At 43.7% G+C, this 14,239-nt stretch overlaps 1 protein-coding gene across 25 annotated transcripts in view, besides 2 other annotated features; it reads left to right on the top strand.

Annotated features, from left to right (window-relative positions):
- Positions 1-14,239, top strand: part of MPHOSPH9 (M-phase phosphoprotein 9) — a 91,679-nt gene that overhangs the window by 18,863 nt on the left and 58,577 nt on the right. For 24 of the 25 annotated variants that reach the window (NR_103517.2, XM_017018673.2, XM_047428066.1 and 21 more), the window contains 4 exons: positions 2,013-2,102; positions 3,245-3,768; positions 6,641-6,764; positions 10,306-10,396. Coding sequence is in view for 23 of the 25 variants with exons in the window: in XM_017018673.2 (XP_016874162.1) it covers positions 2,013-2,102; positions 3,245-3,768; positions 6,641-6,764; positions 10,306-10,396 (829 nt within the window). In the remaining 2 variants the exon portion in view is untranslated. Of the gene's footprint in view, positions 1-2,012; positions 2,103-3,244; positions 3,769-6,640; positions 6,765-10,305; positions 10,397-14,239 lie in introns of those variants that run through there. The other variant, XM_047428073.1, reaches the window with a different exon arrangement.
- Positions 1,446-1,535: an enhancer, noted in NCBI's record as "active region_7254". NCBI's record gives its function as "activates an Ori minimal core promoter by ATAC-STARR-seq in GM12878 lymphoblastoid cells {active_cell/tissue: GM12878}" and the evidence as "EXISTENCE:reporter gene assay evidence [ECO:0000049][PMID:35858748]".
- Positions 1,596-1,665: an enhancer, noted in NCBI's record as "active region_7253". NCBI's record gives its function as "activates an Ori minimal core promoter by ATAC-STARR-seq in GM12878 lymphoblastoid cells {active_cell/tissue: GM12878}" and the evidence as "EXISTENCE:reporter gene assay evidence [ECO:0000049][PMID:35858748]".

Genomic DNA, 14,239 nt, shown 5'->3' with positions numbered 1-14,239 from the left:
GCTTTCAAAATAACATCAATTTATATTATCCTGAAATGAAATTCATAGGTAATATAACCTACCTTTACCCGCTTTAAAAAATCAATATACTATCCTAAATGTGACATAAAGGAGAAATAAAAAATTTACAGTAAAATAACATGTATTTGGATATATCCATGTCAGGCACATGTTCATTAGAAGACATAATGAAGTAGTCATGTTTACCTGTATGTACTCACTGTGAATTCAGCAGCTGAACACAGATCAATATAGCTATGGTGTGTTGATGATCCAGGTATTGTGTACAGCACCTCCACTGGTGACATGCTTTTCTGAAAGGGTGACCAACTTCTCATGAGATTTTGAAACTTAAGTTTGTTTTGATGTTATGAATACTGTGCGAAATATTTATTGTTTTATAACATAAAATGGACACAGGACAATTCTTCATCATGGGGGACTGCCCTATGATCCGCATGCCTGGACCCTGCCCACTAAATGCCAGTGATGTCCCCCCAGCTTTGTCATGACCGTGACCTCACAGATTTCCAACATGGAGTTCCTTCCCCATTGAGATCACTGCATCATATTTAAATTTAAAACTTAGGCCTGTAATCCCAGCACTTTGGGAGACCGAGGCGGGTGGATCACTTGAGGTCAGGAGTTCGAGAACAGCCTGGCCAACATGGTGAAACCATGTCTCTACTAAAAAATATGAAAATTCGGCTGGGTGCAGTGGCTCACGCCTGTAATCCCAGCACTTTGGGAGGCCGAGGCAGGCGGATCATGAGGTCAGGAGATTGAGACCATCCTGGCTAACATGGTGAAACCCCGTCTCCACTAAAAATACAAAAAAATTAGCCGGGTGTGGTGGCGGGTGCCTGTAGTCCCAGCTACTTGGGGGCTGAGGCAGGAGAATGGCGTGAACCCAGGAGGCAGAGCTTGCAGTGAGCCGAGATCATGCCACTGCACTCCAGTCTGGGCGACAGAGCAAGACTCTGTCTCCAAAAAAAAAAAAAAAAAAAAATGTGTATATATATATATATAAATTAGCAATTAGCCGAACATGGTGACACATGTCTGTAATCTCAGCTACTTGGGAGGCTGAGGCATGAGAATTGCTTGAACACGGGAGGCGGAGGTTGCAGTGAGCCCAGATCATGCCACTGCACTCCAGCCTGGGTGAGAGAACGAGAGACTCCGTCTCAAAAAAAAAAATAAATAAATAAATAAAACTTAATCCTTTTAGCCATCTATGAGATATTATTATTCCCATTTTATAAAGTAGGAAACTGAGGTACAAATTAATTTGTCCAGGACCCCACGAGTTTTTAGTGGAGAGCTTGGAGTTAGAGTGGGGCAGGGGTAGGAGACAGAGTTCACAAAGTGAACATTTAAGAGACTTTCTGATGTGGCAAATACTATGAAGGAAATAAATAGGATGACAAGAAAGAAAGGAACTGTTAGGATGGTTTGAGAAGATGACAATTAGGCTGAAATTGCAGGGTGGGAAGACAGCAGTCATGGTGAGAGCTGTGCAAGAGCTCGCGAGGTGATGGGCACATCAGGTGCTCAGCTGTGAGGTGGGAGACAATTTTGGCATGCTCACGAACAGAGGATGCCCGTGAGGCAGGTGCGTAGTCAGCAAAGGACAGAGGGCTGGGATGAAGTGGAGAGGTGCGTAGGAGACAGACAGTGCAGAGCCGTCTAAGGAGAGCTTAGGAGTGGAAAGATGCTGAAAGGCTTTACGCAGGCAGTTAGTTTTCATAGCCACTTCCTGATGTTGTATATTGCTGCATGTGGTCTGTGGCTGAAAGTTTCCCAGCCTTGAGGCTGAACGTAGCCTTCTGTAGAACTCCCTGCTCTCTTGGTGTGGCGCGCCAGCATACTCTAGCTATGAGAGTGCTGATGGCTCTTGGGATTTGGGATGGATCATGACCTAAAAAGGGCTCTTTTACACTGGAGGAATTGTTCTGTGAAATGTTAAGTCAAAAAATTATTTTTAACTAAAATATTTTATAATTTAATAGACCAGGTGGTTACAGCTATTCAATTTGGTGGAAAAACAATGCCAAGAACAGATAGTTGCCCAGCAGGAGCAGTTCCACAACCAAATTCAAGTAAGTTACCATTTACATTGATTCCTTTTTTTATATACATATACATACGTACATATACACACACACACACACACATATATATATACACACACACATATATAGAAATGGAGTCTCACTCTTGTTGCCCAGGTTGGAGTGCAGTGGCTTGATCTCAGCTCACTACAACCTCTGCCTCCTGGGTTCAAGCCATTCTTCTACCTCAGCCTCCCGAGTAGCTGAGATTACAGGCACCTGCCAACACGCCCAGCTAATTTTGGTATTTTTAGTAGAGACGGGTTTTGCCATGTTCACTAGGCTGGTCTCAAACTCCTGACCTCAGGTGATCCACCCACCTCGGCCTCCTGCCCAGCCCTTTTTTACTTTTATTTTCATTTATTTTTTTTTGAGATGGAGTCTCACTCTGTTGCCCAGGCTGGAGTGCAATGGCACGGTCTTGGCTCACTGCAAACTCCGCCTCCCAGGTTCAAGCAATTCTCCTGCTCCAGCCTCCTGAGTAGCTGGGAATACAGGTGTGTGCCACCATACCTGGCTAATTTTTGTATTTTTAGTACCAACCATGTTGGCCAGGCTGGTCTGGGACTCCTGACCTCTTGATCTGCCCGCCTTGGCCTCCCAAAGTGCTGGGATTACAGGCGTGAGCCACCACACCCAGCATCCTTTTTTATATTTGTAAGAAAAAACAATACGTTATATCAATTTTTTTTTTTTTTTTTGAGACAAGGTCTCACTCTGTCACCCAGGCTGGCGTGCAGTGACATGATTTTAGCTGACTGCAACCTCTGCCTCCTGGGTTCAAGAAATTCTCCTGCCTCAGACTCCTGAGTAGCTGGAATTACAGATGCGCACCACCGTGTCTGGCTAATTTTTAGTAGAGTCAGAGTTTCACCGTGTTGGCCAAGCTGGTCTTGAGCTCCTGACCTTGTGATCTGCCCACCTCGGCCTCCCAAAGTGCTGGGATTACAGGCGTGAGCCACTGTGCCTGGCCACCAGCCTCAATTTTGTTTATAAACTAAAGATAAAGTATCACATTATCTTTAGAATAATATCTCATCATATTTTGAAACATGATATTCTTGTAACAGTCATAAAAATATGATGTTTAATATACTTTCTTACCCAAATCTATAACTTTTTATTTCCAGCATATACAGGAGGAGATAAAAAATTTAGTCAAATTACAGACTAGTAGTGCTTCCTTAGCTTCCTGTGAAGGAAATTCTTCAAACAAACAAGTATCTTCGGAAAGTCAAATGGGTTTTTTTTCTCTAAGCAGTGAGAGAAATGAATCTGTTATCCATTATCCTGAATCCACAGAACCTGAAATACAGCAAGAAATGTCCACGTCACAACCAGACTGCAATGTGGATAGTTGCTCAGTAAGCAGTGGATATGGCACCTTTTGTATCTCAGAATTAAATCTGTACAAATCTAAAGACCCTAAGGAGTTCATGGAGCACATAGATGTTCCCAAAGGACAGTATGTAGCACCTGCGGTGCCGGCTGAGTCACTTGTAGATGGTGTGAAAAATGAGAATTTTTATATACAGACTCCTGAAGAGTGTCATGTGTCTTTAAAGGAAGATGTATCCATTTCTCCTGGTGAATTTGAACATAATTTTCTTGGTGAAAATAAGGTTTCTGAAGTATACAGTGGGAAAACAAATAGGTAAGTAGAATTTCTATCATTTGAAGGGAGTTTATTACATTTAGAATCTAGTGTTCCTTTTAATGCACTATAATAGAATGAGATGTATTTGAACATTTATCAGTTCATTGCCTGTAGAAAATTGAAATAAACAAAGCACACTATATTCTAATGACACTGACTTTCTTCCCATCTGTAATGTTATAAGACTACTAAACTCTTAAGGTCGGAAGCTTTGCCAGAAAATAGAAAAGATATTTTTAGCAGACAGGACTGTATCAATAGTGGAAGTTTGTCATACATGTTCATGTAATTTGAACAATTTTTTTTCGTTTTTTGAGACGGAGTCTCGCTCTGTCACCCAGGCTGGAGTGCAGTGGCGCAATCTCGGCTCACTGCAAGCTCCGCCTCCCGGGTTCACGCCATTCTTCTGCCTCAGTCTCCTGAGTAGCTGGGACTACAGGCACCCGCCACCACGCCAGGCTAATTTTTTGTATTTTTAGTAGAGACGGGGTTACACTGTGTTAGCCAGGATGGTCTCGATCTCCTGACCTTGTGATCTGCCCGCCTCTGCCTCCCAAAGTGCTGGGATTACAGGTGTGAGCCACCTCGCCCAGCCACAATTTTTTTTTCTTAAAGGTGGGGGTCTTGCTTTGTTGCCCAAGCTGGTGTGCCGTGGTGCAATCATAGCTCACTGTAGCCTAAAATTCCTGGGCTCAAGTGATCCTCCTGAGTAGCTAGGACTATGAGCGCGTGCTATGTTACCATGTCCAGCTGAAACCAAAAATTATATACAGGGTTACCCAATTTTATGTTTTGTTTTTTTTGATATGGAGTCTTGCTCTTGTCTCCCAGGCTGGAGTGCAGTGGCGCAATCTCAGCTCACTGCAACCTTTGCCTCCCTGGTTCAAGTGATACTCCTGCCTTAAGTCTCCTGAGTAGCTGGGACTACAGGTGTGGGCCACCACACCCGGCTAATTTTTGTATTTTCAGTAGAGACAGAGTTCCGCTGTGTTGGCCAGGCTGGTCTCTCTCCTGACCTCAGGTGACGTGCCCACCTCAGCCTCCCAAAGTGCTGGGATTATGGTGTGAGCCACCGTGCCTGGCCCCAATTTTATGTTTTTTATTTTCTTTTTTCTAGTCTGTATGTTGCTGAATGTTTTTGTTTGTTTCTTTTGTTCTGTTTTTATTTATTTTTTGAGATGGAGTCTCGCTCTGTCACTCAGGCTGGAGTGCAGTGGTGCGATCGCAGCTCACTGCAACCTCTACCTCCCAGGTTCATATGATTCTCCTGCCTCAGCCTCCTGAGTAGCTGGGACTACAGGCATGTACCGCCACGTCCGGCTAATTTTTGTATTTTTAGTAGAGACGGGGTTTCGCCGTGTTGGCCAGGCTGGTCTTGAACTCCTGAGAGTTTAGTAGTCTTACAACATATGCCCACCTTGGCCTCCCGAAGTGCTGGGATTACAGGCGTGAACCACTGCACCCAGCCTGAATGTTTTTTATGTATAAGAAGAATTTTTATAAATTTAGTGACATTTCATGACAAAGGAGGCTTTTTATTAAACTGTGACTGAATGTTTGTAAAACAAGTAATCCTTAAAAATTTCATAATTTATCCCAAGTTTTTAGTTTCATGTCCCTGAATTGTGTCATCTAAAGCAACACAAATCTTATGTATGTTCAAGTATAATGATTGATTTATGCCAACAAATACACTCTCATTGTAGAGATACATTTAGCACTTGGAAGGGCAAATGTGGTGGTTTTTGTTCTAGTCTATGGCTACAGACTTTTTGTATTATTAGTCACTGTTAGTCTTTTTTTTTTTTTTTTTTTTGAGACAGAGTCTCGCTCTGTTGCCCAGGCTGGAGTGCAGTGGCGCAATCTCGGCTCACTGCAAGCTCTGCCTCCCGGGTTCACGCCATTCTCCTGCCTCAGCCTCCTGAGTAGCTTTTAGTAGAGACGGGGTTTCACCATGTTAGCCAGGATGGTCTCGATCTCCTGACCTTGTGATCCACCCGCCTCAGCCTCCCAAAGTGCTGGGATTACAGGCGTGAGCCACTGCGCCAGGCCTGTCACTGTTAGTCTTTTTGTTTACTTTGCCTTTGATAATAAGAAATTGAAAAAAGTAATGTAGGTGAATTAATAAAAATTCATTGTCTTACCGCTAGTAGAAAAAACAACTGGCTGGGCGCAGTGGCTCACACTTGTAATCCCAGCATTTTGAGAGGCTGAGACAGGTGGATCACTTGAGCCCAGGAGTTCGAGATCAGCCTGAGCAACATGGCAAGACCCTGGCTCTACAAAAAAAATAGAAAAATTAGCTGGGTGTGGTGGTGGCCACCTGTGGTCCCATCTACTAGGGAGGCTGAGGTGGGAGGATCACCTGAGCTGAGGAAGGTCAGACTGCAGTGAGCTGTCATTGCACCACTGCCGCTGCATTCTAGCCTGGGTGACAGAGAGGGTCTCTAAAAAACAAACAAACAAACAAACAAAAACCACACACACAACAACTGAAAGCAACTGGTGGTTAGCTTTATATGTGAAGTACAGTATCTAAAGAAATAATTTTGGAACCCAGTGTGGTGGCTCATGCCTGTAATCCCAGCACTTTGGGAGGCTGAGGTGGGCAGAGGTCAGGAGTTTGAGACCAGTCTGGCCAACATGGTGAAACCCCATCTCTAGTAAAAATACAAAAATTAGCTGGGCGAGGTAGTGCGTCTGTAATCCCAGCTATTCAGGAGACTGAGGCACGAGAATTGCTTGAACCTAGGAGATGGAGGTTGCAGTGAACTGAGATTGCGCCACCGTACTCCAGCCTGGGCGACACAGCAAGACTCTGTCTCAAAACAAAAAAAAAAAGTAATTTTGGTTTTCTCTTCTTAAATAGTAATGCTATAACATCATGGGCACAAAAACTGAAGCAGAACCAACCAAAGAGAGCACATGTAGAAGATGGAGGTTCAAGATCTAAACAAGGAAATGAGCAAAGTAAGAAGACACCAATTGAGAAAGTAGGTGACTAGTCACTTTCCCTGCGGGCTCCAGTACTGATGATTATGTGGGTTTAGTACACGCTCATGAACAAAACTCTTGTGCCCTTTCTTTTGTATTGTTAATTTGTTCATTTATACATTTTTTTTGTTGTTGTTTTTTTGAGACGGAGTTTCGCTCTTATGGCCCAGACTGGAGTGCAATGACGTGATCTCGGCTCACTTCAACTTCTGCCTCCCAGGTTCAAGCGATTCTCCTGTCTCATCCTCCCAAGCACCTGTGGTGGTACAGGTGGTACATGGTGGTACAGTCGTGTGCCACCATGCCTGGCCAATTTTTTTTTTTTTTTTTGAGATGGAGTCTCGCTCTGTCACCCAGGCTGGAGTGCAGTGGCACAATCTTGGCTCACTGCAAGCTCCGCCTCCCGGGTTCACGCCATTCTCCTGCCTCAGCTTCCCAAGTAGCTGGGACTACAGGCACCCGCCACCACGCCCGGCTAATTTTTTGTATTTTTAGTAGAGACAGGGTTTCACCATGTTGGCCAGGCTGCTCTCGAACTCCTGACCTCAGGTGATCCACCCACCTTGGCCTCCCAAAGTGCAGGGATTATAGGCATGAGCCACCACGCTCGGCCCATTTATGCATCTTTCTTTTGGTGTTTCAGAGGATTAGAAATAATGATTTGCTGTAAGTGTTTCTTCTTTAGTAGGCTAGAAATCAAAGCTAATAAAGGATAAAATATTATGAAAATGAATCATTTGCAGAGGTCCTATTTCTCTTTGTACTGCAAATGTTTACATTTAGCCAGAGAGTAATCCATTTAATTGTTTAAAATAAACTTTCAAATAATTTATATTATTATTAAATTGTAAGAAGTAATACTGTAATCTTAAAGTTGAGGCTGGGCCAAGTGGCTCATGCTTGTAATCCCAGCACTTTGGGAGGCCGGGGTGGGCAGATCACGAGGTCAAGAGATCGAGACCATCCTGGTCAACATGGTGAAACCCCGTCTCTAACTAAAAATACAAAACTTAGCCGGGTGTGGTAGCATGCGCCTGTAGTCCCAGCTACTCGGGAGGCTGAGGCAGGAGAATCACTTGAACTGGGGAGACAGAGGTTGCAGTGAGCCAAGATCACGCCATTGCACTCCGGCCTGGCAAAAGAGCGAGATTCCGTCTAAAAAAAAAAAAGGTTGAAATTTGAACAGTTCTGAATTATAATCCAAATTGTGAGAGATTAAATGTTGAAATTCTGTATGGCCCTTTTGCTAAGCTAGCAGCTACTTTAATTAAAAGATTATAGATATTGAGTAAGGTTTTTTAAAAAATTATTTAAATTTGAGTTTCAGATAATTAAGATTTTAAACATTTCTTTTATTTATTTATTTATTTATTTATTTATTTTTTTGACATGGAGTCTTGCTCTGTTGCCCAGGCTGGGTTGCAGTGACATAATCTCAGCTCACTGCAATCTCTGTCTCCTGGGTTCAAGCGATTCTCCTGCCTCGGCCTCTCGATTAGCTGGGACTATAGGCGCGTGCCACCACGCCTGGCTTATTTTTGTATTTTTAGTAGAGATGGGGTCTCGCCATGTTGGTTAGGCTGGCCAGACCTCAAGTGATCCAACCACCTCAGCCTCCCAAAGTGCCGGGATTATAGACGTGAGCCACTGTTCCTGGCCCAAAGAAATTTTTTTAAAATATATTTTTGTAGAGACAGGGTCTCATTATGTTGCCCAGGCTGGTCTCAAACTCCTGGCTTCAAGTGATCCTCTTGCCTTGGCCTCCCCAAATGCTGAGATTACAAGCATGAGCCACTGTGCCTGGCCAGATAATTTTTAATATGCCTGTATAGCCCTTATTGCTCTAAATTTGTCACAGAATAGCATTGTTTAGTATAACACATTGAAATGGCAAAATCAGGTCCCTCTACACACCCAATACCTTTAGAAACTGGCCATGTCTTATCCTGAACATGGTCTTTTTGTCATCCTATGAAAAAGATCCATTAAAGAGGTCATAAGAAGATTGTCCTACAGCCTTCATAAGGCATTATTTATTCCTCTTTCAATAAATTTTATTTCTTCAATTTAGGCTTCCTGATATCACCATTCTTTGTACTTTTTCAGATTTATATTGAAGAGGAGGGAAGTGAAGGTAAATGAAGCTCTATGAACCACAAAAGCGTCTGTGGTCTAGGAAAGCCCTTTAGTACTGTGTTGCTAGTTTTATTCTAGAAAAGCCGTTTAGTACTATATTGGTAGCTCTAGAAAAGCCATTCAATACACCCCCACCACCACGCCCGGCTAATTTTTTGTATTTTTAGTAGAGACGGGGTTTCACCGTGTTAGCCAGGATAATCCCAATCTCCTGACCTCGTGATCTGCCCGCCTTGGCCTCCCAAAGTGCTGGGATTATAGGCGTGAGCCACCGCGCCCGGCCTTCTCTTGGTCTTAAGTAGTGAGACAAATTGAAACAGGTGGAATTTCTTCCTTGATGAGAAAGAAAATAAGTGGTGCCTTATAAGGCTCATGTGTTAATTCCCCATCTTCGTAGGTAGTGTTATTTCAGTGTGCTTTTACTTTGGCAATGGGTTCATGGATGGTTACATACTCTTTACAGGAATTAAAAGTTTCATGAGGGACCTGATAAGAAAAATTCTGATAGAAATATTCTCATCACATATCTCTGGAAACACATTTCTTGCGACAGTGTCAGAGATGTGAGGATTGATTTGTTCAGAATTTTTACTAGAATTGATAAGTAAGCAGGGACTACTAACCAATTGTTTGTATATAGGAAGTAGTCTACTACTTAAGGCTCATATTATTGATTTATGGTTTTTAGAGTTAATCTGATTTATTGTAATTATGATAAAAATGAATTGTTAGAGCTTTTACATTAATTTTTATACTAAATGACTTTAATTCTAGGCACTTCAAATTTGTTTTGGAAGTAAATGGCAAATTATAAATACATTTTAGGTCTGAACTCACGAAATAATACCTGCCCCCATTTTTCTCCTTCCAGCTCCACAGAGAACCGAAATAAACTTTTGTAAATTACACAGGCAAAAAAAAAAAATCTGCAACAGTGAATTCCTATCAGTTAGCATTCTTGTAACCATGGGGAAATCAGGCTTTCTTCTTTTTTTTTGAGACAGAGTCTTGCTCTGTTGCCCAGGCTAGAGTGCAGTGGCACGATCTCGGCTTACTGCAACCTCTGCCTCCCAGGTTCAAGTGATTCTCCTGCGTCAGCCTGCCGAGTAGCTGGGATTATAGGCACCCGCCACTGCGCCCGGCTAATTTTTGTATTTTTAGTAGAGACGGGGTTTCATCATCTTGACCAGGCTGTTTTCGAACTTTTGAGCTCGTGATCCACCCGCCTCGGCCTCCCAAAGTGCTGGGATCATAGGCGTGAGCTATCACGCCTGGCCAGGCTTTCTTCTTTGAACCCTCTGAAGGTTTCTCCCCACCTGGTTTGAGGCCTGGCTCTCATTTCTTGGGTCAGCAGATTGTGCCTAATGACTTTTAGCTGTCAATCAATAGTTTTCTTTCTTGTAGTCTGATTTTGCTGCTGCTACACATCCTCGTGCTTTTTACCTCAGTAAACCAGATGAAACTCCAAATGCTTGGATGTCTGATTCAGGAACAGGTATGATACTTACATTTTTATTTTTTTTAACCTAAACTACATACACTCAGAGGAAGGTACTTAGATTTTTAGAGCATTATTTTTAAAAAACAACTTGCCTACATTTCTCCATATGGGATGATACTGTATAGTAGTATGGTTTTGTAAATGTGTTATGTGTTGTGATGTTCTCTGGTAGCAGCCTTACCTTTGTTTGTTTTGTTTTTTGAGACAGGGTCTCACTCTGTCACCCAGGCTGGGGTGCAGTGGTGCGATCACAGCTCACTGCAGCCTCAGCCTCCTGGGCTCAAGTGATCCTCCCACCTCAGCTTCCCAAGAATAGCTGGGACAACAGGCGGTGTCACCATGCCCAGCTTTTGTATTTTTTTGTAGAGACAGGGTTTCGCCATGTTGCCTCAGCTGGTTTTGAACTCCTGGGTGCAAGCAATCCACCAGCCTCGGTTTCTCAAAGTGCTGGGATTACAGGCTTCAGCCACCATGTCCAGCCACCTTTCTTTCTTATCTTAATTTATGTTACAAGATCTGTAAAGAGAATAAAGAAGTACTTTTGCAGTTGTTTTGAACAGCTGTAAAAATCATCAACCTTTTTCGGGTAGTCCAAAATGAATTAAATTCAAACCCTCTGAGCCATCCTTTACACTCCATGGTGAGCTTATTCCAATCTTAATGGCCTTATATACAGACTTTTTTTTTTTTCCATATCCCACATCCAATTCATCAGGATGAATTAGCTTTGCCTTACAAATCTTTCTAGAATCGCACCACTTCTTACAACCTCCACAGCTTCTAGCCTAAGAGTGTTCTCTCATCTGTCACCTGGGTTGCTACTGTCTTCCTAACCAGCCTCCCCACTTCCACTCTTGCACACTTCAGTCTGTTCTCAACATAGTAGACAAAGTGATCCTCTGAAAAGTTAAGTCACATCATGTGACTCCTCCTCTCCAAACCCTGTTGTTCACAGAGTCCTTACAGGGGCCCACAGTGCCTAACAACCTAGCCCTGTTACCTCTTTGACCTCACTTTATACTGAATTGTTCCTCGAATTACAATGGGGTTATGTCCTGATAAACCCACCATAAATTGAAAATATCATAAGTTGAAAATGGGCTGGGCACAGTGGCTCATGCCTATAATCCCAGCACTTTGAGAGTCCAAGGTATGAGGATCGCTTGAGGCCATGAGTTTGAGACCAACTTGAGCAACAAGTTGAGACCCCATCTCTACAAAAGAGTCAAAAAATTAGCCAGGGATGGTGATGCGCCTGTAGTGCTAGCTACTTGGAAAGCTGAAATGGGAAGATTGCTTGAGTCTGGGAGGTCAAGGCTGCAGTGAGCCATGATCACACCACTGCACTCCAGCCTGGGCAATACCAAGACTTTGTCTCAAGAAAAAAAAAAATTGAAAATGCATTTAGTACACCTAGCTTATTAAACATCATAGCTTAGCCTAGTGTACATTAAATGTGCTCAGAACACTTACATTAGCCCACAGTTGGGCAAAATTATCTAACACAAAGTATTTTATAATAAAGTATTGACTATTTCATATACTTTATTGAACACTGAGAGTGAAAAACAGAATGGTCAGCCAGGCGCGGTGGCTCATGCTTGTAATCCCAGCACTTTGGGAGGCCAGGTCGGGCGGATCACGAGGTCAGGCGATCGAGACTATCCTGGCTAATACAGTGAAACCCCGTCTCTACTAAAAATACAAAAAATTAGCTGGGCTTGGTGGCGGCCGCCTGTAATCCCAGCTGCTCAAGAGGCTGAGGCAGGAGAATGGCGTGAACCCAGGAGGCAGAGCTTGCAGTGAGCCGAGATTGTGCCACTGCACTCCAGCCTGGGCAACAGAGCCAGACTCTGTCTCAAAAAAAAAAAAAAGAATAACAGAATGGTCATATGGGTACTCAAAGTATGGTTTCTACTGACTGCATATCGCTTTTGCACCATGATAAAGTAAAAAAAAAAAAAAAAAAAAGTCGACCATTGTAGGCTGGGGATTGTACTCTGTCCTTTTTTTTTTTTTTTTTTTTGAGACAGAGTTTTGCTCTTGTTGCCCAGGCTGGAGTGCGATGGTGTGATCTCGGCTTACTGTAACCTCCGCTTGCCAGATTCAAGTGATTTTTCTGCCTCAGCCTTCAGCTTCCCAAACTGGGATTACAGGCATGCACTACCACGCCCAGCTAATTTTGTATTTTTAGTAGAGATAGAGTTTTTCCATGTTGGTCAGGCTGGTCTTCAACTCCTGACCTCAGGTGATCTGCCCACCTCAGGTGATCTGCCCGCCTCAGCCTCCCAAAGTGCTGGGATTACAGGCGTGAGTCATTGCGCCTGGCTGTGCTCTGTCCGTTTCTTTGATGAGAAGGGAGATTGTCTGCTCAAATGTCCCAGATAGGTTTTAGGACTTTTGCATTGGCTGTTTTCCATACTTGAAATGTTCTTTTCCCTGTATGAGGGAGCTCCCTCATACATGGCTAAAATGGCTGATGCCCTCTTAATTATCCTCTCAGTAGCCAACCCTGTTTACCTGATTCAAAAATAGTGCCTGCCCATCGCACCCCCCACTACATATCCCCTTTATCCTATTTTAAAATCTCATCAGAGTGCTTACCACCTATATACTGCATGATTTACTTACTTTTCATGTCTCACTCCTCCTGCCTCCCCAGCCTGGCACTATAGGTACTCAATAAACATTTGAATTATTTACATTGATTCTGTATGTCTATACTACTCACAAAGAAATTGTCAGCTGGGCGTGGTGGCTCACACCTGTGATCCCAGCACTTTGGGAAGCCAAGGTGCGCAGATCACCTGACCCCAGGAGGTTGAGACCAGCCTGGGCAACATAGCAAAACTTCGTCTCTACACAAAATACAAAAATTAGCTGGGTGCGGTGGTGTTGAGTTTATAGTCCCAGCTACTTGGGAGGCTGAAAGGGAATGATGGCTTGAGCTCGGGAGGTCAGGGCTGTAGTGAGCTGTGATTGCACCACTGTACTCCAGACTGGGTGACAGATGGAGGCCCTGTCTCAGAAAAAAAAAAAAAAAAAAAAAAAAAGAAATTGTCTATTTTAAAATATATTTTAAGGCTGGACCTGGTAGCTCACAACTGTAATCCTAGCACTTTGGGAGGCCGAGGAGGGTGGATTGCTTGAGCTCTGGAGTTTGAGACCAGCCTGGGTAACATGGCCAAACCCTGTCTCTACTAAAAGTACCAAAAAAATTAGCAGGGCTTGGTGGTGTGTGCCTGTAGTCCCAGCTTCTTGTGGGGCTAAGACAGGAGGATGTCTTGAACCTGGAAGGTTGAGACTCCAGTGAGCTGGGCTGGGCGCAGTGGCCCATGCCTATAATCCCAGCACTTTGGGAGGCCGGGGCGGGAGGATCACTTGAGATCAGGAGTTTGAGACCAGCCTGGCCAACATGGTGAAGCCCCATCTCTACTAAAAATACAAAAATTAGTCTGGGCACGGTGGCTCACACCTGTTTTCCCAGCACTTTGGGAGGCCGAGGCAGGCAGATCACTTGAGGTCAGGAGTTCGAGACCAGTCTAGCCAAAATGGCAAAACCCTGTCTCTACTAAAAATACAAAAATTAGCAGGGCGTGATGGTGCATTCCTGTAACCTCAGCTACTCAGGAGGCTGAGGCAGGAGAATCACTTGAACCTGGGAGGCGGAGGTTGCAGTGAGCCGAGCTCGTGCCATTGCACTCCAGCCTGGGCAACAGAGTGAGACTCTGTCTCAAAAAAAAAAAAAAAAAAAAAAAAAGAAAAAACAAACCAAAAATTAGCTGGTTATGGTGGCGCATGCCTGTAATTCCAGCTACTCAGGAGGCTGAGGCAGGA

The sequence above is a fragment of the Homo sapiens genome, chromosome 12 (assembly GCF_000001405.40).
Source record: "Homo sapiens chromosome 12, GRCh38.p14 Primary Assembly".
Taxonomy (NCBI): Eukaryota; Metazoa; Chordata; class Mammalia; order Primates; family Hominidae; genus Homo; species Homo sapiens.
Note: the sequence above shows the minus strand (reverse complement) of the source record. Positions and strands in the feature narration are given on the sequence as shown.